The sequence below is a fragment of the Homo sapiens genome, chromosome 6 (genome assembly GCF_000001405.40).
Source record: "Homo sapiens chromosome 6, GRCh38.p14 Primary Assembly".
In the NCBI taxonomy this organism is placed as follows: domain Eukaryota; kingdom Metazoa; phylum Chordata; class Mammalia; order Primates; family Hominidae; genus Homo; species Homo sapiens.
In genome coordinates this window covers 133,400,653-133,428,102 of record NC_000006.12, presented here as the reverse complement: position 1 = coordinate 133,428,102, position 27,450 = coordinate 133,400,653, and the positions used below count along the sequence as shown (strand labels likewise).

General features: G+C 37.5%; 1 protein-coding gene across 30 annotated transcripts in view, besides 1 other annotated feature; it reads right to left on the bottom strand.

Moving 5' to 3' along the window:
* The window catches only part of EYA4 (EYA transcriptional coactivator and phosphatase 4), a 291,536-nt gene that overhangs the window by 104,026 nt on the left and 160,060 nt on the right, over window positions 1-27,450 (bottom strand). The window lies entirely within an intron of this gene.
* Window positions 17,025-17,557: an enhancer, noted in NCBI's record as "NANOG hESC enhancer chr6:133731684-133732216 (GRCh37/hg19 assembly coordinates)". NCBI's record gives its function as "activates a minimal SCP1, AML or CMV promoter by ChIP-STARR-seq in naive H9 embryonic stem cells {active_cell/tissue: H9 hESC(naive)}" and the evidence as "EXISTENCE:reporter gene assay evidence [ECO:0000049][PMID:30033119]".

Here is a 27,450-nt window from a genome sequence, read left to right as displayed (position 1 = left end):
TACTTTCTCATACTCTTATCTCTAACTATATTATTAAATTGGTCTCTCAAATCAGAACACTGGAGTGTGTCTTCAAACCCTCAATTTTTACACCGTTCACCAAGTACAATCAGCATTTCTAGCAGAATAGATTCCAAAGTGTTCACTCCTTTCCCTCTAATCACTCTTAAATTTTGTCATCATAATTGTTCATCTAAATTTTTTCCAGCAGGCTATACTTATAACAGAATCTTAGTTATTCACTCAGCCCTAGGTATATACCAAGTAGTAGGTGCTTTATAACTGAACCTTGATGAATGAACAAAGAACTTCCTGGTTTTACTATCTTCTGTCTTCTCTCTATATCATTCTCTAGACAATTACCCTAATTTTTTTCTCAAATTCAACTGGAACTATGTCACTGCCCTTCTGAAGTCCCCCTCCTCTTAAAAAAAATGGTTCTCCAATGGCTTCCATTCAACTATTTAACACATATCTAGTACGTGTCAAATTTTGAGCTAAGGACTTCAATAGAGTGAGCTTTAATTTTTTCCTTTTAACAATCATGGAATTTAGGAAAGACTTGCAAAATGGCCTTACCCCTGTCAAAATACAGATATCATCACATTAATCTGGATCCAAGAACCTGAATCTACTTTTTTACTTTGAGTAGAATGTTCTCATATCATTTCATGCTCCATTTATCCACTTCTGTAATAGAACTATGTTGAGTTAATTTCAATTTATACTAATGCATAAAAATTCCAGATAACATGATTGACTAATTGACACTATCTTGTACAGAAATCATGACGTTCAGAAGTGGTTCTAAAATTCAGAACTTTAATGCTACATTTTAGATAAGTGAATATGGTTTTGTAATTCCACTCAAGAAATTGCCTCTAAAGTATCACATACTTTAAAATTCAGAAATTCAAATTTGTTCATACTTTCTTCAAAGTGCTTTTCTTCCGAGGAAATGAGGATTATTTGAACCAGCACCATGCAACTGTTAATTTCATACTTTCATTCACTTATTTAAGAAATATTGTGTGTCTCAGCCCTTGGCTTTCCTTTACAGACAATACAGACAAAAATTCTCTGCCTTTGTGGAGCTTATATTCTAGTATAGGGTAGGGGGGAAAATATAGATTCCGATATATAGAGAGAAAATATGTACATTGTAACTTCTATTCGCTTTGAATAGCAAATTGCTATAGTTCAGAAGTTCCAAGGAGATGTGATATAAATAGATAGATATAGATATAGATAGAAAGGAGATATGATGCAGGTGCCAACTTTAGCAAGGCATAAATAGTCAGTAGAATTCAGACAGATGGGAAGAGAGGACAAGGGTATTCAGGCAAAAGGATAAATGTGAGCACCGGCACACAAGCTGGAAGGAACAGAGCTTGTTATGGGCAAGTGGGAAGAATGGGTTAGCTGAAATGGAGACTGTGTTATACAATAGAAAAAAGTCTGATTATTAGAGTAGCTAGAGCTTTTGAAAGCCAGGCAGTGGAATCTAATGGGGAAATAACATAATTAAAGCAGTCTTTGCAAGATTAGTCTAGCTAATCTGTGTTACTATAGTTTAGAAAAGAGGGATAATTTACTGACATAGGTTAGCAAGCTGATTCAACAATTCAGGAAGAAAGTTAAATGGTTTTTGACTAAGGTGGTGGTGACAAGTGAAAACAAGTAAAATACAAGAGGCATATGTTGGCTGGGATATTACAACTTGATGATCAGATTATTTCAGTCACATGTTCATTTATTCGTATTTATTGAGCACCATAATTTGAGTTACTCATATTTATTCAGCACCCAAAATATTTGCCGAGTACCTATTAGGTAACTGCTCTTGTACTTGTTACTAGATTCAAAGGTAAAAAGCCACTTGCTGTGGTCACAGTCTAGCATGGAAGATCTGGCAACAGTGCAAGGGCAGTGTTGTAGACACTTGGCATAGATGAGGAGTGGTTAACTTTACTGAGTTTTCTGTAAATGTACATGTATGCAGGAGATAAAAGAAGGCTTCAAATCTGAGTTCTGAGTTTTCTCCTGGTCAAAGTTGGCGAAACATTCCAGAAGATGGATGGACAGGTTTATTCAATGGCATGGAGATGGGAAACGGCATCGTGTGTTCACGTTCCTGCAAGCAGTTAAATATTTCTGCATGATAGAGGTCAGGGAGAAAGCGTGAAAAGCATAGAGCATCTTCAGTGCTATCCCACGAAGTCTGAATTTTAGCCTACAGGCAATGAGGAGCAAATGGAGAGGTAGAAGCAACAAAGCAGCATGGTCAAAATTACACTTCAGAAAAGTGTGTGATGACCATGTGGAGGCTGAATTAGAGAGGGGAAAGCCAGTCAAGGAGGCAAGATAGATGACTAAGTGCTGAGCTAAGAGATAGTTAGAGCTAAACTAAAGCAGTCATAGCGGCAACAAAGTGGGGGCATTTAGGAAGCAGAATAACCAGAACTTGGAAACTAATCAAATGTGAACAGAGGGACATTACAAAAATAATTCAGGTTTTGAACTCAGTAGTTAGGAAAAGATTTGAACAAAACAGGAAGAAAGTGGAGGGACTGTTTTCAGTGAAAGATGAGTGATTTAATTTAGGATGCCTTGAACTGAAAGAAGGGAGACTTCCAAGTAAGTGCTGATGGCGAGGTTGGGGGGGTGTCATGACCTTTGGGTAGAAGATGGATATTATTATATTACTGATTTCCATTCAGGTCAACTGCTCTGTGCACTTTAATTTCTTAGGTGTGCTTGCTTTGTTTTCCTAATTAGATTGCAGATTTTGCCAAAACATGTCTAAGTTCCTTTAACACCTACTTACTGAATACCTATGCACGTCCTGTCCCAGGCACTGATTACAATACTAACAGGGATTATTTCCTATTTAACATTTTGCATATGACAAAATTTATAGGCGCATATATATATTCTTCTGTGAAAGATTAAGTGGTCAATTAAACAGCTGGAAATAACACAAATGTCCATTAATAGGTGAGCGGATAGATAAACTGTAGTACCACCACCCAAAGGAATACTGCTCAGCAATAAAAGGAATGACCCATTGATACACACTTACAACACAGAAGGCTCTGAAAGCAACTATCAAGGAAGATCCATGGTTGCCAAGAGATTGGAGGGAGGAAGGTGGTAGTGATGGCAGTAGTTGATGCCATCACACTGGCTGTAGCAGGGAGGCACTGCTGGGGCTGCACACTCCATGGAGCGGGTGGGAGCCCCATCCCTTCTGAGTGGGCGGGAGCTCCCTGGATGCCACTGTAGCCGCCCAAACTGCGGCTGTGGATCCAAGCCTCCTTGTGCTCTTGAGGGGTGCCAAGAACAGGCAGAATCTGCCCTCCTGGGTGCAGCTGCAGCCACCTGACCCACAGCTGCAGACCTGGGCCTCCCACTCCATGGAGAAGGCAGGAGCTGGGGACAAGTAGGAGTCCCGCCCCTTCCAAGTTGGCAGGGTGGGAGCTTCTGGGTGCAGCTGTGCCTGCCCTCCCAGGTGCAGGATCTGGGTCGTCTCTGCCACTGGCACCCACGGTGCCCCCAGGAAGGACCCCCATCCTTATAGGCTGGGGGGGGGGTGTTTGCTCCCGTTGCCTGGCCTCTCTCTGCTCCTGGCACCTGCTCCAAGATCAGAGCAGGGGTTGGGGCCGAGACCAGGGCCATGAATGGCAGTAGGAGGCAGACTGATTCTTGAGCAGAAGGAGGAGGGTCCTCAGTAAGGCCCCACTTTCAGGCCAGTGAGGGCCTGAAGGCTGGGGGCTGGGACGCCAGTCCTGCAGACCAGAGTGGGGAGTCTTGGTGCCTCTTCTGGGCCACCAATGGCCACCCATGGACCATTTGGCAGGCACTTCCTCCCTCTTCCCCTCTGAGGTCTGTAAAAGCCCTGGGCTCAGCCAGAGCAGGGCATAGGACAGCCAGAGGATGGCCGAAGGGGGCAAAGAGACAACAGGACAACCAGCAGAAAGAGGAGCTACCCTCTCTGCTGAGAGCTGCAGCCATCTGGACAACCAGCTGCAGAGACAGGCTACTCTCTCCAGAGCCTCCTCTCTGCTGAGAACTGAACACTCCACGGATGACATACCTACAGAGAGGAGCCACCCACTGTGGGTCTCCTCTGAGCTGTTGTGACACTAAATAAAACTCATCTTTATCTTGTTCACTCTTCACTTGTCTGTGTACCTCATTCTTCCTGGATGCAGGACAAGAACCTGGGTAAAGGCGCCACGGTCACAGAGGTTTCTGGCTAGAAAATTGACACCCCAAAGATCCCGTAACAATAAGTAGAGAGGAATAAATTATTAAGGGGCAGGAGCAAACTTTTGGGGTTGATGAATAAGTTAATTATCTTGACTGTGGTAACGGCTTCATTGGCACATACATATGTCAAACTGAGGTATGTTTATGTGGCGGCTGATGGTTGCTTGCTTGTGTTTTTAATGATTTTAATGATATTATAAAACTATACTACCTTTGTAATAAAATTTATTTTAAAAATTATAAAAGTTATAAAAATGCACTGGACAAGTATTCACTACAGTCCTAATAATCAGTGAATGAATTATAACTTTAAACAACAATGAAACATTGTATCAAACCTATCAGGCTGGCAAACATTACAAAATCAAATAAAGGTCAAACGTTAACTAGAGTGTGGTAAAATGGGTAATTCTCTCACTGCTGTTGGGAATGTAAATTGGTACAGCCAATTTGGAAAGAAATATTACATTATCTAGTAAAGTTGAAAATGTGTTTACACTACTACTAACTGTAACACCGGTTTTTAATTTTCCATTAATAGGTGCCATTTTAAAGTACTAGCATATATTTTTGTGTATTTTGCATAAATACTGATATTTGAAACTATAATATCTTAGTCCACCCCTCCTAGATTTTTCCCTGTTCCCTCTCTCCTTCCCCTTTCCTTACTCTTTCTCCTCCCTGATCCTCCTGCAAACCCTCCAGTCATTTTACCACTCATGAAAACCCCTTGTGTCTTAGCATTTCCCTTTGTGTTCCCCATCGCCCATATCTAGCCACTCACCCTCCAAAAAAAGGCTGAGTAGAGATGAGAAGTGCCATCTGAAAACACATCTCTCCTTTGGGATGGGAAGCAGTCAGAGAGTGGGCAAGGTGGGTAGAGAGAGAAAACAAAACTGTTGCCAGAGATACAGAAAGAACTTCACTCAAAGCTGCATACACTCAGCAGGAAGACAGGAAGCCCTTACAGGGCCAGCCAAGTCAGAAGGGGCAATTCCAAGGGTATTCTGGGTTGAGGGAACTAAAGACTAGGGAGGCAGCAAAGCCAATAGCAGGCAGAGGGATATTCTACCAATTGTGTTTATTAATTTTTATTGAAATCTTTGAAATATTTTTACAAAATGTTATTATTGAATGCACACATTCTAATACTTTAATTTACTGTTATTAAAACTTGTATTACACAATAAATGGTGAAGCAAGTACCTTGCACTAAGTCCCCAAATTCCTCTTTTCTGTTTCAACTCCAGAAAAATTATTCCATAACATGGTTTCTAAGAGTTAAGAATTAGAAATAACTTAAATGTCTATCTAAAAGAGAGCATAGTCTATGCCATATAATTACAATGAAATACTATACAGCGGTTATAATAAATGAGCTAGAGCTACATGTATTAATAGGAATAAATATAAAGAATATAATCTTAGATTTTTAAATGTCACAGCATTATGCATACAATTTTATATTTATGTGGATTTTTAAAACTGGCAAAAGCATATTATATATTGTTTCTGAATTCATAAATATGTACTAAAATATAATGTGAATGCACTTATGGGAATGATAACTTCTAAATTCAGGATAGTGTTTTTCTCAAGGAGCAATGGGGTCGATATCTCAGAGGAGTATAGAGACCCTCATCAGAGTCTGTAGTGTTTATTTTTACGATCTATAGTGAATATAAAATGATTATAAGGCCTTATATAGGTAGCAAGTGGGTACACATGTGTATTTGTCTCTGCTGTTGTCTGTTTGCAATATCATAATAAGAAATGGGTAAAATTAATAATTGTATTCCCTTTCAAAGCAAAAAGCACTGATACTAAAACTTTCACATATTTACTAATGAAAAAAGATAGTAAGTTTAAAAACAAAAAAGAGTTTTGTAGGCATATCATATCTTCAAAACCCCATTATAATGGAGAATAGTGAACTCTCCAGTTATAACACAAGTAATTTAGGCTGACTGGGTTTCCCTTCCAAATTCACAATCCTATCTATAAACACTAGGGAAGTATACGGCTATCCATAACTCTGTCCTGATTAAGCTGATCCTGCATACACTTCAGCTTTTGATTATGTGAATGGTTTTATAGGCAAAACACCTTCTAAAGCTGAGCTGTTGTTGTTCAAAGTTAGCTTTAAGCAAAACAATAGAAAACCATGGTTTCAATCCCATCCCATAATATAATTCTCAATTTCAGAAAAGTCTAGACTTTGCAATTCAATGTCACCTCAAAGTGAGGAAGAGCTTCAGGACACCCACAAGAAAATGTCCAAATATCAAGACACGGAAATGCACAATGTCTAAGGCTACTCTTGAGAACTCATGCTAAATAAGACATATCATCACCAAATTTTAGGCATATGGAATAGATTCAAAACATCGTGGCTCGCCCACAAACTCAGTATATTAAATCTTATCCCAAGTATGATATTACTTGATTTATTTAGACTCCGTGGCATGTTTGAGTTAATGTGCTGGTAGTCTGATCAGCTCTCCTTCTTAGGTTCTACAAGAATTCTTGGATAGAACTAAGACGATCTGAATGACACTGATGCTGGAATGTGGCTCCAGGTGCAACTGTAATCAGCGTGTAGTAGGAACAGCAGTGGTTCTTTCTGCACACTTTGGTTGGGTGCATCTGCTTAGAGAGAAAGGTAGACACCTCACATCTCACTCTGACCTCTTGCATAATGAGGCCGTAACTAGCCTTGTCTTCACTTGAGGCACAGTCTAAGAGGAAGCCAAATGGAGGGAAGAAGTGGGGGAAGAATAATTCTTTAAAGGTGTCTATCCATCTCCTTTCTGCAGCGAAGCTTGATGTGGAGGCAGGCTACAGTAACAGTAGTAAGTGAAAAGAAACGTATGACAGATAAAAGGCTGTTAAACAGTACCCTATTCTGTATACAGTGTGCAGCAGGTCCTTGAACTACTGCAGGACCTGCTTACCTTGTATTAAGTTGAGTGGGAAGAGTTTAGAGAAGTACTTGTCTGATTCCCTGGGCTCATACCATGACAAACATCAACTCTATCTGTCTGCATGTAGCAAATGCAGTTATGCCATGGAGTTAGCATTTTAGCTTACTGTCACCTATGGGCACACCACAAGTTTAGCAAAGTTGATTTTTCTTGTATTTACACAAGTGTTAAAGTTGGTCAAGGTCATCAAGGTTGTCCCTGCTTTGGATGTTGTTATAATATAAGCAAAGGTAAATTCAAGAGCCTGCTGTCAGAGTCTTACTTTAAGTCTAAGTGGGCAGGCAGAAAGAATGGATGCCTGGAAGGCTTGGGCTCTAGTCCTGTCTCTACTTTTTCCCAGGTGAGAGACATTATTTAGGCTTTCATGTATGAAACCAGAAAAACAGCTCTTGTCCTAACAAGGAAGATGGAGTGAAGAATAATGTATGTTTGAGACGATGCTTTCAAAATTGTAAGTTGTATGCAAATGCAACATATTGTTTGTAGTAATGGCAAAAATCATAATCAGGAGAGAAAACCTACATTTTACACAAGGTACCCCTTCTTTCTATAGTCTTTGCCTAACACCAGGATGTTTATCAATCAGCTCTGCCCAGAGGGGATACTGAATAAGTGTTCATTCTCTTAATAGTGAATATGAATGCATATTCACTATTAACATCTCTTAATAATGGGAAATTTCTGCATAATAAGGTATGGATGATTTTTTTTTGGTGTTGTACTAAAGCCAAGAATTACAGATCTCCTTAGAGATTTCCTGCACAGTGGTGTCATTTGCCCAAATAGGTTCCTACAGCTTTTCCTCTATGGCTAATCACCTCAAAAATGTACTCCTTCCATTTTACAATGCCACTATTCCCACCTTCACACATAACACATACTAAATGGGACCTCAAGCAAAACTAATAGCATAAAACATATTTTCTGAGTTTTAAATGTGGGGCGTCTTATTCATTCATTCATAAATGTCTATCTTTAATGCCCACCATGTACTGGCTGCCATGCTAGGCACCACAGATGCAAGATGAAGCAGTCATGGGGGTGTTCTGCCTTAATGAGATTGCACCTATTCAGACCATCATGGCTGGATGCATTGTTGCATTGTGTTGCACTGTTTTTTAATTGCACAGACTTTTTTGGTGGTAGTATAATAGTTTGGTTTGTCTGAGTCTTCTTTTGCCATGGAGAGATGTCCACATAGAGTGAACAATATTTACGATGTATCTACATGCTGTCTTCCATTTCAGAATTATTTTCATACAGGATAAAATTATCTCATTAACTTACAAATATTTATCTGAAATCTACTTCATCTGAGGCATATTTGGAGGATACTGAGTTTTATATGATAGAATCCATTTCCTACAAGAGTTCAGAGTTCAGGAAGACATATCATAAAGGCTGTATATCATGAAGGCCTAGTGACGACAAACAGACAAGACGTGTCCTGAGGTGTATCAAGAGATAACACCATTGACATCTTGTGAAGGACAAGGAAATTTAATAAATCACAATTGACTTGCAAAGGGAAATTATTCCACATGCAAACTAAATTTTCCATTTCAATAAAGGATCAGTAATGTTTGGGAAAATACATCCCTCACGGTCACAGTGTGTAAAGCTGGCTGACACACTGTTCATGAGTTTATGTAAGTAAAAACAGTGCAGCTGGACATTGCTCCTGGGCTGTATCCCTTACTCATTTGTAAGGCCGTGCAGGGCCTATACCTATCGAAACAAAAGAAATTAAGTAATTTTAAAAATTGATGAAAGGAATATTGACTTTCTACTGGATAATTATACCCTTATAAAAAGAGAGAAAGGCCACCCTATGTCCTATGAGTGGATATTATTAGACAATATAACAGTGGCCCAGAAACTAGAGGGAGAGAACAGGGCATTATATCATTCTATTCATCCTTATCAACAAAAGGAACAGAAGGCCATGTAAGTAAATCTTTATTACTTTAGAAATTACTGCTCCTGGGTTTACCGTTTTCTCTCTTTTCAAATATATGTCAAAAAAAAGAAATATACAGTATTCTAAACTGAAAATGTTTATCTCTAGATCCCTCATATCTATTTGGTTGCCCTTATTTATAGAGTTGTGCTTAGTTCCTGGACTACCATTTCCCCAGCTAATCTGTCTAAAATATAAAGCACTCATGTTGCACAAAACCTTAACTTCATGTTTCAGATTTCATACAACTTATCTGTGTACTGACTTATCAATTATGTATATTTGAAATGTATGGAGAATACATATGTATAGTTTAATATTTGTGTGTATATATAATGTATGTGTATATATATGCATCTGTATATATTTAAATGTTAAATGTCAAAGAAAAAAGTCCACAGAATAATGCCAATAATAACTTTCATTAACCATGCATTCAACAATGTTTTTGAGCAATTAATACAGACAAGGTGCTGTGTAAGGCACTGTGGGGAGAGGAGATTTGTAAGATGTCTAACAGTCTAGCCTATGCCTAACAAAGCCCAAAGAGAAGCCACAACTGTCACATCCATGAAGAATGTGATCTGTTACTCAGACACCATACTGAAGAGTCAAGCTTCTATGCACAAACTCCTAGGATGCAGTGAATCATGACCTGGATGGGAAGCTTGGCTTTACAGATTTCGCTAGGTAGTACACAGATTTAGAGTGTATATGGCTCTCCTCCAGCTGCTGAAGGATGAATAGCTCGAGAAAGACCCCAGGCAAAATTAATGCCATAATGCACTACATCTCTAAACACTATGGTGTATGCTGTCAAACAGAGGAAACCAATAGCTTAAGGCAACTTAAATCTGGAAAAGCAGATAAGAGGGTGTGGGATATATGTTTTCTGAGGAGCCGTACTATGCACTGCCTAAAATAAAGGAATAGACTGATATAACAGGTTTAAAAATTCACCACAGAAGAAAATTCAGACCCTACATGCTTGGGGTGAGTGAAAGGGCGCCTGTGGAAAGAACAGATTTTAATTAAGAAACTTGTCTTCAAGTCCCACCTCAGCTCCTCACACTAATTTATGACTTTAGGCAAACATTTAAACCCTTTGAGCCTTATTTCTATGTAAAGGGAACAACAATATCTCTCAGTGTTTTTACAAAGATTAAAGGAGAAAATAACGTTTTGACTGCTGTTTTGTTTTGTTTTTATTAGTGATATGCATGTTATGAATATCCAATACAGAGTGTATCTGTGATAGGTATATGTATGAGGGTTGTGTGTGTGTATGTGTTTTTGCCTATATAGAACATATATATTCTAACTACCAAGTACAAATGCTCTGCATTACCTAACTCATCACAAGTCCTATGAGTTTATCTTGACATATATTGAATATATGTCATATTCACCTTTTCTTTCTTTTTCCCATTCACTCCACCCTATTCAGGTCCTCTTTCACTGTCTCAGGTCTGAAACACGACAGTATCTTCTAAACTTCAATCTTCCTTCCTAACCTACTATAATAACAGACACATCTTCCTAAAAATGGCTTTCCTTTCCTTGTCTAGGTGCCTCATAACTCACAGAGTGCAAAGAGAACCAAAGTGTGACCCAATGACCCAAGAAGTTAACGTCTAGTGTTGGTTCTGCCTGAAATGCCACAAACATTGAGCAAATCATTTTGCCTCTCTGGCCTTTAATTACCCCATCAATAAATTCAGTAGATTTGCTCTAAATGATTCTGGATCTCTTCCAACTCTAATATTCTTAATTTTAAGTTTCACATTCAAATGACACATCAAAAACATCATTGCAAAAATCGATAGCCAAGACAACTGTTTCAAATAACGATCAGAATAGGAACAATGACAACAAACTGCTTCATCAACAGATTGCTTTGCTCTCCTTCACATGGGCAGTAGGTGTTCGGCATACACCCAAACCTACCCTGCACCCACAGTGGCGTAACCACAGAGGGCAGTGGGCCCCGGCCAACTCCACTCATTTCTAGAACATTCCGTTTGAACGCTATAGGGAGATGGTGCTTTGCCCTATTCTCCTATTCATGTGTGAGTCAAGGTATGTGAAGAGCAGAGGGACACAAAGAGAATATGCAATTTCACATCAAGGAGTGTGGTTCTACTCTTTTCTGCCAAGCAAACTGAAATACATTTGGGGCCTCTATTCTCAATGCGAAAATATAGGTGTATAAATTCTTATGCATGTGCAGTTTTGCTCTTCTATGATATCAATGTAATATAATATATACGTAATGCTTTATCTTATCTATATGATGTTGAAATTCTATCTGAAGCTCAATCTAGTGATGCAGAGATAGGTTCTCTTACTTTCTCATTCCCCTCCTAACCTCCTCATGGAAAATGGGACCTTGTAAGGATTTTAAAATAGATCAAACAAAACAAATCAACAAAACACTTGATCAATATAGACAGTTATTAATTGACTTCAGGAAAAAAAATGTGCAAGAGGCACTGACTGACAGTCTCCTGGAGTCACCTGGTTTTTCCCCTTCCCTCACTAACCAAATCCCATCAAATAAAAAAGCGTGATGCTTTAAATTCCTAAACTTTTATGAGTCAGTCCTTTATCTGCATTTTAACTCCTCCCTGTACTATGCAACAACCTTCCATTATCTTTCCTGCCTCCAATTTCATCTTCTTCAAATCCATTATTGATACTGTAGCCTGAGTATTCCCTCCATAAAGGTTCATCTGCCCATGGCACTCCCTTAACAAGCATCCTTCCATGAGTTCTCACTGCCCAGAGTATCACATCTTAGTGTCCTCTACAAGGCATGCTGATTCTGATCCCATATCCTTGCACAAAGATTCACTCTACTCGGAAAACCTTACCTCTTTTTACCTGACAGACTCCAACTTATCCTTAAGGGATTAGCAAAGGCTTTACCATTTGCTGGAAGTGTTTATTGAGCCATTCAGAATAAACTAAATGCTTGTGATGTTCCCTATACATATCTCTACTATTGCCCTTCCACGCTGTTTTATACTTGTTGTGTGTCTGTTTCCTCCCATTAGACTATGAGTTTTTTGAGATGTCTTATCTGGCACAGGACCTTGGACATTAATTAATTAACAAATATTTACAGAGCACCTACAATGTACTAGGCACCATTCTAAGTGCATAAAAGTGCACAGAGGAGTTGGAACTCCTTAACCCCACATCTTTAATAACTAAGTAAATTGTGCATTATGTCAGGAGATGGTAAATTATAGGAGAAAACCTGAAGCAGAGATCGACAGTGTTGATGAGGAGGCAGGGTACAATTTAAATATAATTGGCACATGTGTCTCATAATCCTCATTCATGCAGATACCAGAGGGAAGAAAATTCCAAACAGAACAGCCTGCGTAAAGGCTGTGAGAGGAGGCACGTCTGGCAGGCTCAGACAGAGCAAAGGCCAGCAGCCCAGAAAAGACCGAGCAGTGAGAGAAGAGGAGGAAGTGGAGCCAAAGATATCATGGGGGGCTAGGCTGCATTGGACTTTCAGACTATTGTAAGTTCTTGGGCATTTATTCTGAGAGGAATGGGGAACTACTGGAGGGTTTTACAAAAAAGAAGATAGGTAAAAAGACTCGCTTCACCTCAGGACCAAGGCACAGTTTCACTCTAGTGGATCACTTACCTACCCAGTAATGAGGTCCTTTGTCAATACAATAAGGCTCTGGAATTTACCAAACCAGCAGTGTGGGTAAGTGAGAAAGGAGGCAGGTTTGATAGCAGCCAAGCCTGAGTTTGAAAGCTGGATGTGACTAGCTTTGTGAACTTTGGTTAGTTACAGGGTTAGTTACAATTTGCCCATCTGTAAAACAGGACAATAAGATTTACCAAATTGGATGAAATAAATTCATGTACATAAAAAATATGGCATAAAATAAAGGCTCCAGAAATGCTTATTTCTGATGTCCCTTCATCTTTAAGTTATTCTCTAAGTATATCAATAAAAGTCCATAACTGACATATAACGTCACCCACCTCAAACAGGTAACAGACATGGTGTAACTTCTGCTTTTACCTAAGATGGAGTAACAGGGAACTAACTTATCTTTCCACCTGAAAAAAACTAAAAAGAACTAAATAAAATACAGATAATAATGTTTCTCAAGATATTGAACATCAGGCAGCATGAGACAGTGCTCCCTGGGAAATGGAAAACAAATCTGGTGAGCCCTATGATTGCTCCAGTTTACCCCCTGGGGAAAATTTTCAGGCCATGGTGCAGAAAGGAGGAAGCCAGGTGAAGTCCAGTGAATTGAAGAGATATAGCCTGGCATAGCAAAGGGCCCCACCCTTCTTTCTATTGGATCCATGCCAATGCTGTATCTCGTGTTAAATATTTTAAATAACATCTATAGATACAGTGAGGAATGAGAAGCTCAAAGTCTAGTAAAGGTAACATCAAATCAGTAGAAAATTAAAATACATTTTTCTAAGTAATCTATCATAACGGCAAGCTTTGGGGAATACATACGAGGGATTCTTCATGAAACCTTGGGAGTGTGTGAGTCAGACAAAGGTTGTTGGCAGAGAAAACTGTTACCTTTTTTTTCGAAATCTAAACAGAAGCTAGACAAAGAAATGTAGGACATTCCAGGCAGAGTGGGCAACACATGTAAAAACCAAGACATGGAGATGAGCATAGAGAACATGGAGGATCGGAGAAGAAGGTGGAAATGTCAGCAGGCACCACACCATGGGGGTCTTACATGTCTGGATGCATAGATTAGAAGAGAAAACCACATGCAGGGAAATGATCAAGAGACTCCACTACCAAGGTGACAGATTATGGGTATGAACTGGAGTAGTAACAGTAGAGATCAATGAAAGTCAATAGATTCTAGAAATTTTAAGAAGACACATTTTTCTAGGGAATTGTGATTGATTAAATACGAGGAGAGAGCATGAAAAAAGAATCAGGATGGACATCCAGATTTCTGTGATGAAGAAGGCACGATGCACCAAGATAAGAAGAAAAGAAAGAGGAGAATCTTTGCAGATGCATGTGAGTTCAATTCTGGACATGTTGAGTTTAAGGTGCACAAGGGATATGCAAGTAGAGATATCCAGCAGTCAGCAGGAAGCTTCACAGAAGAGATCTATGCTGGAAACAGAGATTTAAGATTCACCAGCATATACTGGGTATTCAAGCTATGGGTATGGAAGAGGTCACCCCAGAAAAGTGTGGTAAGTAAAAAGATACAAGTGATAGAACACTGGGAAGCAACATTGCTTAAGGGATAAGCATAAAAGAGGAACATATACATGATATCAGAAAAAAAGAGAATCAAAAGATGGCAGGAAAGCCAGAAAGATACTGTCTTAGAAAGCTAAAAAAAGAATATTTTAAGAAGTAGTTAACACGTCAATAGTGATAAATTTAGCAGAGGTTAAGAAAGTAAAGGCCCAAAAAAAAAAAAAAAATCACTGGGTTAACACAAAAGTTTTTGGTAACCTCTGAAATGGTAGGAGACCCAGAATATATATAGAGAGAATTGGCCATTTACAGAATGAGGCACAATAGACAGGCTTTTAATTTATCCGTGAAGTGGGAGTCAGGACCTTCAAATGTGGAACTATGAAGGCAAGATGAAACATAGTAAGTTTAAGGAGAGTGGAGAAGTTTTTAAATAAATACTATTAGAAATAAAAGAGAGTTGTCTGTGAAACAGAATAATTTCCAGGCAGGATTAATGGCCTAGCTGAGAATAAAGAACAAATTGGTAGAGTTTTCTAGCACATTTCATAGTTATCCCCAGTATTTTATGATTTCCTTCTTCCTTTGCAATAAATAGGATTTAAGTTGTGCTCCTGGGCCCCCAACCATAATTCTGTACTTTAGAATATCTCTTATATGTAAGTGTACACATGACTGCATCCTATCTAATGGAAGGGAGTGTAAGAGAGGTGTGCAGGCTTGTTCTCCCTGTCCTTACCACATCCAGCTGCTGGGCTGTGGTGAGTATGGAAATAGCCACTTCAAACCCACCAAAGGAAGTCCGATGAAGAGGACAGCAAAAACAACCAGCAGCCAAAGGCCACAATGTAAAGAAGATGAAGAGAAAAGGAGACAGGAACTTAAGACTGTTGGAAGATTAGTGGTTGAAAAGGTGAGCCATGAGATCTATGCTGAATAGGAAACAAGCAAAGATCATTCAGAGACCATGTAAGGTGTATCAAGACATGACATCTTAATGAGGTCTCACTCAACATTAGGGCCACAAAACAAAAACGAATGGAGACTATAACAAACACATGCTCTCACATAGCAAAATGCATAAATTTTACAAATACAAAGTTAAGCAAAAGAAGCCAGACACACAAAAAATACATACATTACACGAAATTCCATTTATACAAAGTAGAACACAGGCAATATTGATCTACAGTGTTGAAAGTCAGGAAGAAGGGGTATGATTGTGAAGAGGGCATGAGGGAGGATTCTGGGAATTGATCACATTCGATGTCTTCTCTGGGTACGGATTACATGGGTGTATCCAGTTTTATGAAAATTCACAAAACTGCATATTTATGATATGTATAATTTTCTGTTTGCATATTGTACTTTTAAAAATAAACTAAAAATCTGCCAAACTAAAAAACTCATAATTTTTACTTAACCAACACTTACATCATGAAAGTCATGATCTGGCTATATATCTATATATTATCTTTGTCTAAACTGGTTTTGCAAATATTAGTAAATTTGCTGCATTAAACTTTTAATAGATATGCATAGGTTGAAGTTGTATTTGAAGTGTTTCAGAAGCTTAATAACCCTCTACTTTTTAAAATATCCATTTAAATGACTTTGAAGAAGGGAACAGAACAGCAACAATTATAGTTTACAATGACAAAACAAGGTGCTGACAGGCATGAGACAAGAACTCCTCTGCCATGCTGGCTTTGACTTTTCAATGGTATAAGCTTGATGGAATGCTATCTGGCAAAATGTTCAGGAGCTTTAAAATATGCATGACCTTTGACCTGAAATTGCATTTCTAGAAGTTCACTCTAAGAAAATCAGGAATATGAGAAGATTTATGCACAAATATATTCAATGAATTATTTATAAGAGGACAAATTCTGAAAGGAACAGAAATATCCCCAAATAAGAAAATGATTACATACATAAATTATTATGTGCTCTGATATATTATGCAAATAACTTTCAATTCTATGGTGAAATATTCATAAGATAATGTAGAGTTTTTAAAAAGCAAGATAGACTGAGTCATACATTTTATGAAACAAAAATTAAAAAAAGACCGAATATATATATATATAGATAGACAGATATACAGATACACACACACACATATATGGAAAATTAAATGTGCCAAAGTGTGGTTAACTCTGGGTAGAGTGACTGTGTTTTTAGTTTAATAAATTGAGTATTTTCTGATTTTCTAAAAAGAACATGCAATACTTTACTGATTACAGATATTTAAAAACCATGCTGGTGTTTCCCTTTGATGTGCTTTTCTCATGGAGTTTCATATTTGTGCTCTATAACACAAGTAATAATTGGGTCCCGCTCCATAAAAATTTATTAACTATTTCACTCAGCACTGCCTGGGAACAAGGAGTCTCTTGCTCATCATAACCTTCCCCCACAGTGTCTTACAGAGAATAGAGTGTATGTTCAAAAACCACCGAATCAAAAAAATAGTAAGTCCTCATCTGTTATCTTCTGTTTATACAGTTGTACTATACAATAAAACATCATGTAGTGTTAAACCGTTTGTTGCTTGTATGCAAAAGTAAAAATAAAGTGCTTGTAAGTAAACAGTTCAAGCACATAGCCCCCTCTGTCTTCTGATTAGGCTTGAGAGGGCAGAAAGTCAGGGGGTGGTGGGGGTAGGCTGGGGTCAGGCGGGGGAAGGGCAGGGAGGAACAGCAGAGGGGCTGAGGGCTCATCCCCACCTCTAAAGCTCCAACTTCAGTACTGCTACTTTGATCTTCTTCAACTCTCTTCCCCTTCCCCCATGCCTGAAGACTACAAAATGGTAAAATGCAACAATGCCAAGGATGAATCAACACCTGAGGGTAATAATTTAACAGGCCCGCTAGGGAACCAGAGCCCTGTTTGAAGTGGACTGCAGGAAGCCCCCAGGAGGAGAGAAAAGCCCTGCCAACAGGAGGGACTGCTGCTGCAGGACAGAGTAGGGAGCCTTCAATGCAAACGGGGAAAACACATGATTGATAGAAGGAATTAAGACCTTAGTTCTATGGAAAAATACAGAAGTTTTTTTTTTTTTGGTTAGGAGGAGCTCTTTCAGTCAATTCATGAACTTTACTCTTGAATAAAGCTGTTAAACTTCATGTTAGTTTGTAAATTTTTATAAATTTGTGACCTTAATAGTAATTATCCAATGTCCTTAATTAAGTTGGATTTATATAGATTTAAATAATACCTTCTCAAAATAATATATTTTCTTCCTCTTCAACTTCCTACAATGCTGTTCACTTTAAAGTTTATATCCAATTTAAAAAGCAGCAGCAAGTAATCTATATTTAAGAAACACCAATAACACATCCCTATTTGAAAAATATTTACTTTACACGAACATTTTACTCATGTTGTATTCAATAGGAAGTTTCAAGGACGCCAACCATTTACTTAGACAAGTTTTAGTATACTATCATCTCATTAAATTAATGAAATCTATTCATCAATAGATACTAAGAACACTTAGGACATGGTCAGAATCTGACTATATATCTATATATTATCTCTATCTAAACTGGTTTTGCAAATATTAGTAAATTTGCTGCATTAAAATTTTAATATGCATAGGCTGACGTATTTGAAGTGTTTCAAAAGCTTAATAACTCTATTTTTTAAATATCCACTTAAATGACTCTGAAGAAGGGAACAGAAATTTTATATGGGGGGAGGACATATATTTAAGGTGTACAACATATGTTTTCATACACATATACTTAGTAAAATGATAAGACAATCAACATATCATTTCTTTCACAGTCACCTTTCTTTTTTGTGAAAGATTTTCTAACATCCATACTCTTAATAAATTTCTGGTATACATTACAGTATTATTGACTATAATCTTCACACCAGTGCTTTAGATTTCTAGAGTTATTCATCGTACATAACTGTAACTTTGTAAACTTTGATCCACACCTCCTGATCCCTCCTCCCATCTCTGGTAACTACCATTCTACCCTCTGTTTCTATGTATTTGACTTTTTTATTTTTAGATTCCACATATAGAGATATACATAGGTTATAGTTGTATTTGAAATGTTTCAACAGCTTAATAGCCCTCTATTTTAAAATATCCATTTAAATTACCCTGAGGAAGGGAACAGAAATTATATACAATTTCTATCTATCTATAGAAAGTACGTGTATTCCACATATAAGTGAGATCATGCAGTATTTTTCTTTTTGCGTCTGCCATATTCACCTAGCATAATGTCCTCCAGGTTCATCCATGTTGTCACAAATGGCATAATCTCCTTTTTAAGGCTGAATAACACTTCTTTTTTTGTGTGTATATATTTTGCAATTTCTTTATCCATTCAACCATCTATGAACACTTCAACTGTTTTCCATATCTTGGTTATTGTGAATAACGCTGCAATAAACATGGGAGTGCATACATCTCTATGTGGGGCTGATTTCACTTCCTTTTTGGATAGTGAATAGAAGGTTTTATGCTCCAATTTTGGTTGGGAATAATACAGGTTTCTAAATTACCTTGCCAACCCACCCTTGAGTAGACCTTTGTCATTCAGGACTTTTCCATGTAACAGAGCAGCTACAGACTAATGACCTATGGACCACTGAGTCACTAACTTCATTTCACTCATAATAAAATCCAGATCAGAACAGGGAGTCTGCAAAATCAAGTCTAGTGAGTGGAAGGTGAACTCTTTTTTTCACTATGTAAAAAGGAATTAAAGTTACTCTCCACTAAAAGTGACCACACACCTCCATGAGCCTTATCAAAATTAGCATTGAACCACTCAATATTAGTCCCAAATTTAATCCTAAATCATACACAAATGAGAACATATTCTTGTCTGGTGAATACCATGAATAATCATGACATCATGACTAACACTCACTGAGTACTTAGTCGCGCCAGGCACTGTCCTAAAAGCTTTGACAGTGTAAACCATTTAAACCTCATGGAAACATATGAGGTAGATATTGTTATTATCATCCTGTATGTGGTTAGGGAAACCAAGAAGGCACAAAGAGATTAAATAACTTGTCCAACACTGTATAGCTAGCAAGTGGCAAATCCATGTTTCAAATTAAGCATTCTGGCTCGAGAATCTACATCCTCTACTAGATTGCCTTTGTAATAATAAATTTAATTTTTTTTTCCAAAACTGAACTTGCTGAGATTCATTTAATCTTATGCGTAGATTCTAAGAACCAGACCAAATATATATGTATTTTTAACCTCTACATAAATCATTCAAGAGGACAAGACTATGCAGACAGTCCATCTACAATGTAACCACATAAAAGAATTCTGGGGAATCTGAGCCCATTAACAAAAGTGTGCATGGAATCAGCCAAGAAGCCAGATGTCTCCCTCAGAGGAGGAGTATCTTCCTAGCTTTTCACTGAGACCTTCAGCCAGGTATTCCCCAACAAAAGATGGAGGAAGGACGGTCTGTTCACCATGCAAAGGGGCCAAATGTAAAATGATTGATGTGTTTAGTAACAACCTTGAAGTTTTTAGTAGTAAATACTTTTTAGCAAAATCCAAATTGCAGCCCCAACAATTAATAAAACTCTATAAAGATATGTATTATAGTTCAGGAAAGTTTGCATAATGAAAAAGTTAAAGCTTTGCCTAATCCCTTTTTCATGTTCAGCTCTTAATGTAAGTCAGGTTTCCTTTTCTTCCCCCCATACTTTAAATCCTCCAAAGAATGCTAAAGAAAATCAGGCAAGCAAAACAAGCAGCTTTTGATTCTCTGGCACTCTACCATTTGGAAAACAGACTCAAATTGCATGACAGATAGTGGTCTAGGAATTTGAGAAATATGAGTTGGTTTCAATAAGAAATACCTTTATAAGGAAGCTTTAGAAAATAGCAGCAGTATTTTTCTTTTATTTTTTTTTCCTGAAAATTAGTAACAAACATCAGAACCCTAAGTTGAATTTGAATCTATATAGAGCTCACTGTTTGATCCACAAATTCTTACTGGGCTCAACTTAATTGAATTTAGAAGACGAAAACTGCTGAAGCTGAGAAGATTTATGATTGCATGTTATCTGTGGCACAGGGAGTCTCTGGATTATTCAAAAGTGAGGGGGGTTGGCATGCTGTGGAACTGCTTCTGCTAAGCTTGCTGTAAGGTGAAGCTACTGGGGAAAAATCTGAAGGCTCCAAGAGCAAGGAAGGCGGGGGTGAGTGAGTAACAGCCAAAGCCCTGGTGATTTGGAAAGAGTTTGCACCTGTAGGGTCCATCGCCTTCTCCTCCTATCCTCCCATTCAACATTTAGTCCAACTTTAAGAAACACTACAAATTCCCAGAGAATATGTAGAATAATCTAAATAAATCTCTTTCGATAAATACGTTTCCTTCCAAAAAAAAAAAAAAAAAACCCTAGACTCCTTTATTTCACAGTGTAGGTTGATAAAACTATGTGATAACAAGTGGTTGATAAACTGAATTAGCACTTTAACAATTAACTCAAATATCCCAATGTAAGGAGTTTAATTAGACCTTTCCCAAATTAAAAACTTGATCTCAAAGTTTTTTCTTATCTTCTGAATTTAAAGACATTAGTAATATATTATGTATTACACTGAGATATGTCATACCAGCTCTATGTAAAATCTGCTCAAGAGAAAGACAATATAGTTGAAACCTAAAAGCTAAATAAGTGCTTACTTTATTCTAGAAAAACAAATGCTATATACACATTATTTTTCTATTCAGCTTTCTCTATAAGTAACTTTAATTTTAAATTATTCTGCATTTCTCCCTAATTTACACTCGAAAACCTATAGAAGACTGAAATAATAAGAGACAGATTTCATACATTTCATTTTCATTTTAATAGAAAACCTTCTAGAATTAAAAATCGCATAGTACACTTGGAAATTATTTTGTTAAAGTATAAGAAACAGGTTTTATACAACCTGTTAACAGCTTTCAATCTGAAAAATGTATATAGCTAACTGAAATATCTAATTGAATTTAACTAAAATATGCTGGCAATTAGGTGAGGGCAACACAGAATTATGAAGACCAAGGCACTGAACATCATGACAAATCTTAGAACATTTTTAATGAAGAGAATTCACAAAATATATACTCATTCAAAGGCTTTCAAATGCTGACCAAAGCTTTCCTTTTGACCTTACCTATCACTCCTGCCTTCACAGATCCTGCACTGCCAGTGACTCAGTGGGTGTGCCCCCGTTTACACCATTGCATATGATGTGCCGTTGGCATTGTATGCCTCTCAAGGTGCAGTTTGATGCCATCTCTTCCAAGAAGCCCAGATGTCATTCTCTAGCTGTTTCTCTGGCCAATGAGTAGTCATTTCCTTATGAGAGCTCATCTCGTGTCATGAGTCCTGTATGTGTCTTATCTCTGATTATTTCGTAAACTTCTTTTGGGCAAGAACTATATCTAATAGATTTTACTTTCCTTAAAATACCTAAGATAGAACCTGGCCCATGGTAGGTGGTAAATAACTGCCTGGTCAATTAGTAAATAAAAATATGAATGAAGTTTGACAGCCTATACAATATATATATAAAGTAATCTGATACAATGTTACTAAATAGATAGATAGAAGATAGGTAGGTAGGTAGGTAGGTAGATAGATAGATAATAGAATTTAGCAGCATTCTCTCTGCTCTCCAGTTGACTACACAGTTCCTAAAATACAACAGACATGCTCTCACCTCAGGACCTTTGCACATGCTGTTCTCTCTTCCTGGGACTCTTCTCCCAGACAGCTGCATGACCCAGCCCTCATTTCCTCCTTAGTGAGACCCAGCTCTCACTAAGGCCTTCCCTGGCCAGGCAATGCAAAATTGTCACCCCCTTCCCCCCATTCATTCTCTCTCTTCTTTTCCTGCTTTTTCTCCATTGCACTTACCACCTCTAATATACTGTTTTGTATATTAATCTTTATTATTGCTTGCCTCTCTCCACTGGAATGTAAACCCCAAAGGAGAAACTTTTGTCTGTTTTATACTTTGCTGTAGCCCCACCTAAAATTGTGCCTGGAACATAATTGACATTCAATAAATAACTGTTGAATTAATTTGTTGAATTAATGACTCAAGAGTATTCACCTTTCATACATAGGAAATAGAATATAGAATACCGAGAATGATTTTTATGAGATCTGTGGAAATCAGTCACATCATCACGACAATGCAAGAATAAAGAAGTTAGTAGATGGCCTTGAGTTTTCCCAAACAATGGCATTTTCTGCTACCAAAATAAATATGTTATTCAGTCAGAACCACTGGACTATAAGAAGTATATTCCATTCTGGTTTTTACTGGGGGAAAGGATGTTGCCACAAGATGTCAGTCCATTTATTCATTCATATATCCAATAGATATTTTATGACCACTTCCATGTGCCAGGAGATGGCTAAGATCCTTGGAAGACAGATAAAATGCTACCTACCAACTCAAAGTCCAGTTAGGGAGTCAGGGGGTAAAACAATATTCTAGCACAGTGTGTTGAGGCCATGGCATGGTGAGCACAGGAGCCTGAAGGAGTGGATGGAAAAGGCACCTCAGAATCATGACACTAGGAAATGATTCTCAGTGAAGCAGGCTCTTAAGTGAGAAAATAAAAGTTGAGGAACTAAGAGCGACTATGTTCAAGCAGAGAATAGCATGTCTGAAGGCAGCTACGAATGAGTAAGCAGGGTACTGCCAGGGTAGAGTTTTAAAATAGAATGAAATCGTAGATGTTGAATCAAGTGAACAGGGAATTAGGGTTTCCCATTTCTCTCTCTCCTCATGCGAAGAGCCAAGGAGACTAGAAACTGGATACAAGCAATCCACTTTAAGGTGGGTGATGAGGCAGGGCTACACGTGAACACGAAGGACATCCCGAAACTCAATGAAAGTCGTATTTATTACACACAGACTTACATTAACTGATAACTAAATGCATAGGAAGTTACTAGTCTCAAATGTTTTGTGTTAGAAAAAAGCTTTACTATTCAAGCCAACAACTGGAATTGCTCTCTATGACTAGAAGACTGTGGGTGCTGAAACTAGAGATTATTTTTGTTTTATTTAGCATGACCATATGTATTTTCTGTCTGAAGAATCTACAGTGTAGTAGATCCAATGTAGTAAATTTGTAATACGAAAAAAAAAACAGCTCTGAAAGTTTTACAAAAATTATTAAACTAGGAGTAGCTACTTGTCAACCTTGGTTAAGAGGAGGTATTGTCTTTCCTGTAGGATCACAGTGACAGAGACAAACAAAGCTCTTCAATAAACACTGGCTGAATGAGTGTGAATGGACAGAATGATGTTATTAATCGCTTTGGTAACTGGGGATCTTATCTGCTCTCCCCTCATCACTGAGTAACATCCACATTAGAAAAGAGATGATGTGCTTTGTCTTTTTTGTCTAATCTCTCTCTTATTGGCAACACTCACTGAACTGAGAAAAATAAGTGAACAGGGGAGTCAGTCCAAATAAAGGGCTTAAATTCCTGAGACACTCCTGTTAAAAATACATGACAGGAGGCCGGGCACAGTGGCTCACGCCTGTAATCTTAGCACTTTGGGAGGCTGAGGCGGGTGGATCACCTGAGGTCGGGAGTTTGAGACCAGCCTGACCAACATGGAGAAACCCCATCTCTACTAAAACTACAAAATTACCCAGGTGTGGTGGCACACGCACAACTGTAATCCCACGTACTCGTGAGGCTGAGGCAGGAGAATTGCTTGAACTCTGGGGGCAGAGGTTGTGGTGAGCCAAAATCATGCCATTGCACTCCAGCCTGGGTAACAAAGGCGAAACTCCATCTCAAAGAAAAACACACAAACAAACAAAAACAAAAAACATGACAGGAAAAGATAATTCCCAGTTCAGAAATATGACTTGTAGAGTGGCTTCCTTCCTTATATGAGAGTTTAGTTGATGAATGTGCAAATAGAAGACTATGATTTATCCAGATTTGAGTGGATTATTTTAGGCACATAAGCTCAATTATGAAAAATAAATATTGCTTGATATCAAGAAAATTCCTTGAAGTAAATGTAATCTTTCTTAATGAACACTTTCTTCAAATGGTCATTTTAATATGGAATTAACATTATATACTATGTGTACTATCTTTGACTTAAACATACAAGAACAAAGTTGTATTTTTTCCCCCTGTGGTTAAAGCAGGCATTTAGAGCAAAATGAGAAAGATTATTTATGTGACTATGTCCTCTAAAAATACTATTGTTTAGGCTAGGTCTTTGGGAGTTAAATAAAGCCTGTGAAAAATATCAATAAAGCAAGACAGCCAGCTATTTCATAGTTTTCATTCTCTATCAGGCCAATTCCTGTTTTTCTGTATAAACAAATCAAGATGGTTTTAAAGCTTTTTTGTTATTAGAATCCCAGAATCATGTTAACCTTCAGGTGCAATAAAATCACATAAATTCTAATTTAGTGTAATCACATTTTAATTTTTTTTTGGCTATTTGAACCACACAATGTTCATGTTTCCTTTTCCACAAAATGCATAAACACAAAATTAGTAATGGAAATAATAAAAATAGCACTTGATGCTGCTGGAAGTGTTTTAGTTATAGCTAATTTAATCCTCATAACAATTGTAGAAAGCAGGCATTGTTATTAGCCCCATGATAAAACCGAGGCACTGAAGGGCCCAAGTTGGTAGAGTGGGTGCTGGAGGGGCTGAGACTCCACTCCTAGAGTGTCACAATTCATGGAAACATCAGATAATGAACAATTCTATAAGCCATGTGCTTCCCTAATTCTTACTGGTCTTGTCCCCTGTTACCCTCCCTCTTGTTTCTCTATAAACATGGGAATTTACTACATTTGCAAATAGATTCATTCTGTTATTCTTTTGGGTTCACATTTTATTTCTCCTGGCTGTGTGTGTGTGTGTGTGTGTATCACATTTCATCTTTATATTGCACAGCTCCCTGAATCAGTAGCCTAGACAGAGATGTAAGCATATGACACCCAGTTCCAGACAAAAATTCCCACAGTGCCTCATCAAAATGAATTTGCTCAGGGAAAAGTTGACTACACTCTTTCAGTAGATTTCAACATTTGTGTTGGTAACAAAACAATGTGAGTTTAAGCCTCCAGATATATAGCTAGATTCTCACTTTAGAAATTTTTATATAATACTGAGTTATTTTATGAATGTTCCATTTTTAGAAATCAGACAGGGAATAAAAAGGGTAAGTGCTGTATTTAGAGAGCCAATGAATAAATAACGAAGAGCAACTACTTAGAGAATAAAGATAATATAAGAAGTGCTCACCACTCAGTGACAACAGATGTACCAAAGTGGTTTTCCCTCTTAAGGTATTTTGGAGAGGTATTAAGTACTGCCATTAGAAATCCTTCTGTGTCATGATGCAATCTTTGGTAGCTGTACGTGTTAATTTTACAATTCTACAATGGTGTAAAGAAGGGGTATGTGTGTGTGTATGTGTGTGTGTGTCTGTGTCCCTAGAATCATATAGATCTTTTTTTTGATTTAAAAATATGGGTTTTTGCTGAAATGATCTAGATATCTTTTAGAACAAAAGAGCAAAGGAAATTCCTCCCACAGTCAGTAGAAACAGCTGGTGGGCAACTCCTCAGTTCCTTCCCCTTTTCCTCTTGATTCATTATGGTTATGCTCAAAGAACAGAAAAAGAGTACAGTTCACCCATGGCACTGTTGCTATCATCTTTTCCCTGTGACTACTAAAATATTGAGTTTCTGGTATTAGAGAGAGGTATGCAGGGAAATACCCTCAATCTAATGCTAATGATCCTGAGAGGGGTGAGCCCTGGATTGTGCCACATTTCAATAGGTCAACTAATATTTCTCTAGAGTTATTTGTACAAAGGCTGAAGATAACTATCTTTCATTGAGTGTTAACTATGTGTCAAACAGTACACATAATGCCATCTAATTTAGTCATCAAGAAAATAGAAGAGGATGGTACCAGATTTCGGGGTTAAACGATGAAGCTAAAAGACTATATGAAACTTAGATGTTAGTAAGAAAGGGAATGATATTTGCACTCAGGTCTTTTTGCATCTAAGGGCTATAGTTGTTATATGATGTTATTTTCTTTTTAAAGTTGGTACGTAACAGAAGGACACATTTTGAGGGTACGTGTGATAATTTGATACATTCATATAATCAAATCAGGGTATTTGGGATATCCATCATCTTAAATATTTGTATTTTCTTTATGCTAGGAACATTCCAATTATTCTCTTTTAGAGATTTTGAAATGTACAATAGATTAATATTAACTATACTCACCCTACTGACGTGTTGAACACCAGCTCTTATTTCTTCTATCTAATTTATATTTGTACCCATTAACCAAAATCTTTGGATCCCTCCTTCCTTCCTACCCTTCCTGGCCTCTGGTAAACACCAATCTACAATCTACTCTCTATCCTTATGAGATCCACTTTTTTAGCTCCTACATAGGAGTGAGAATATGTGATACTTGCTTTTCCGTGCTTGTCTTACTTCACTTAAATAATGACCCCCAGTTCTATCCATGTTGTTGCAAATAACAGGATTTAATTCTTTTTATGGCTGAATAATATTCCATTGTATACATATACCACATTTTCTTTACCGATTCATTCACTATGGGCACTTGGGTTGATTCCAGAAGAGAGGGACAGGAGAAAATAGGAAACCTTGAGCTGTGTCCCCAGTCTCATTCCAAAATCAAAGCTGCTCATATGAACCATTTCAAACTTTCTCTCCACTGTTATGCAAAAAAGTTAGAATTTATTAGAATTTATGGCAATTGAGTAAGAAAAAGTCTACAATTTAACATAAAAAAGCAGGTCCCAACTTCAGTTAAATTTATGTTAAATTGTACATTCTAAATAACAATTTAAGATATCTCCAAGGTATTTAAAAATAACACTGTAAAAAAATAAGGTAATCAATAATAATTTTTATACTTTATTACTATCCTTTAATTGACTG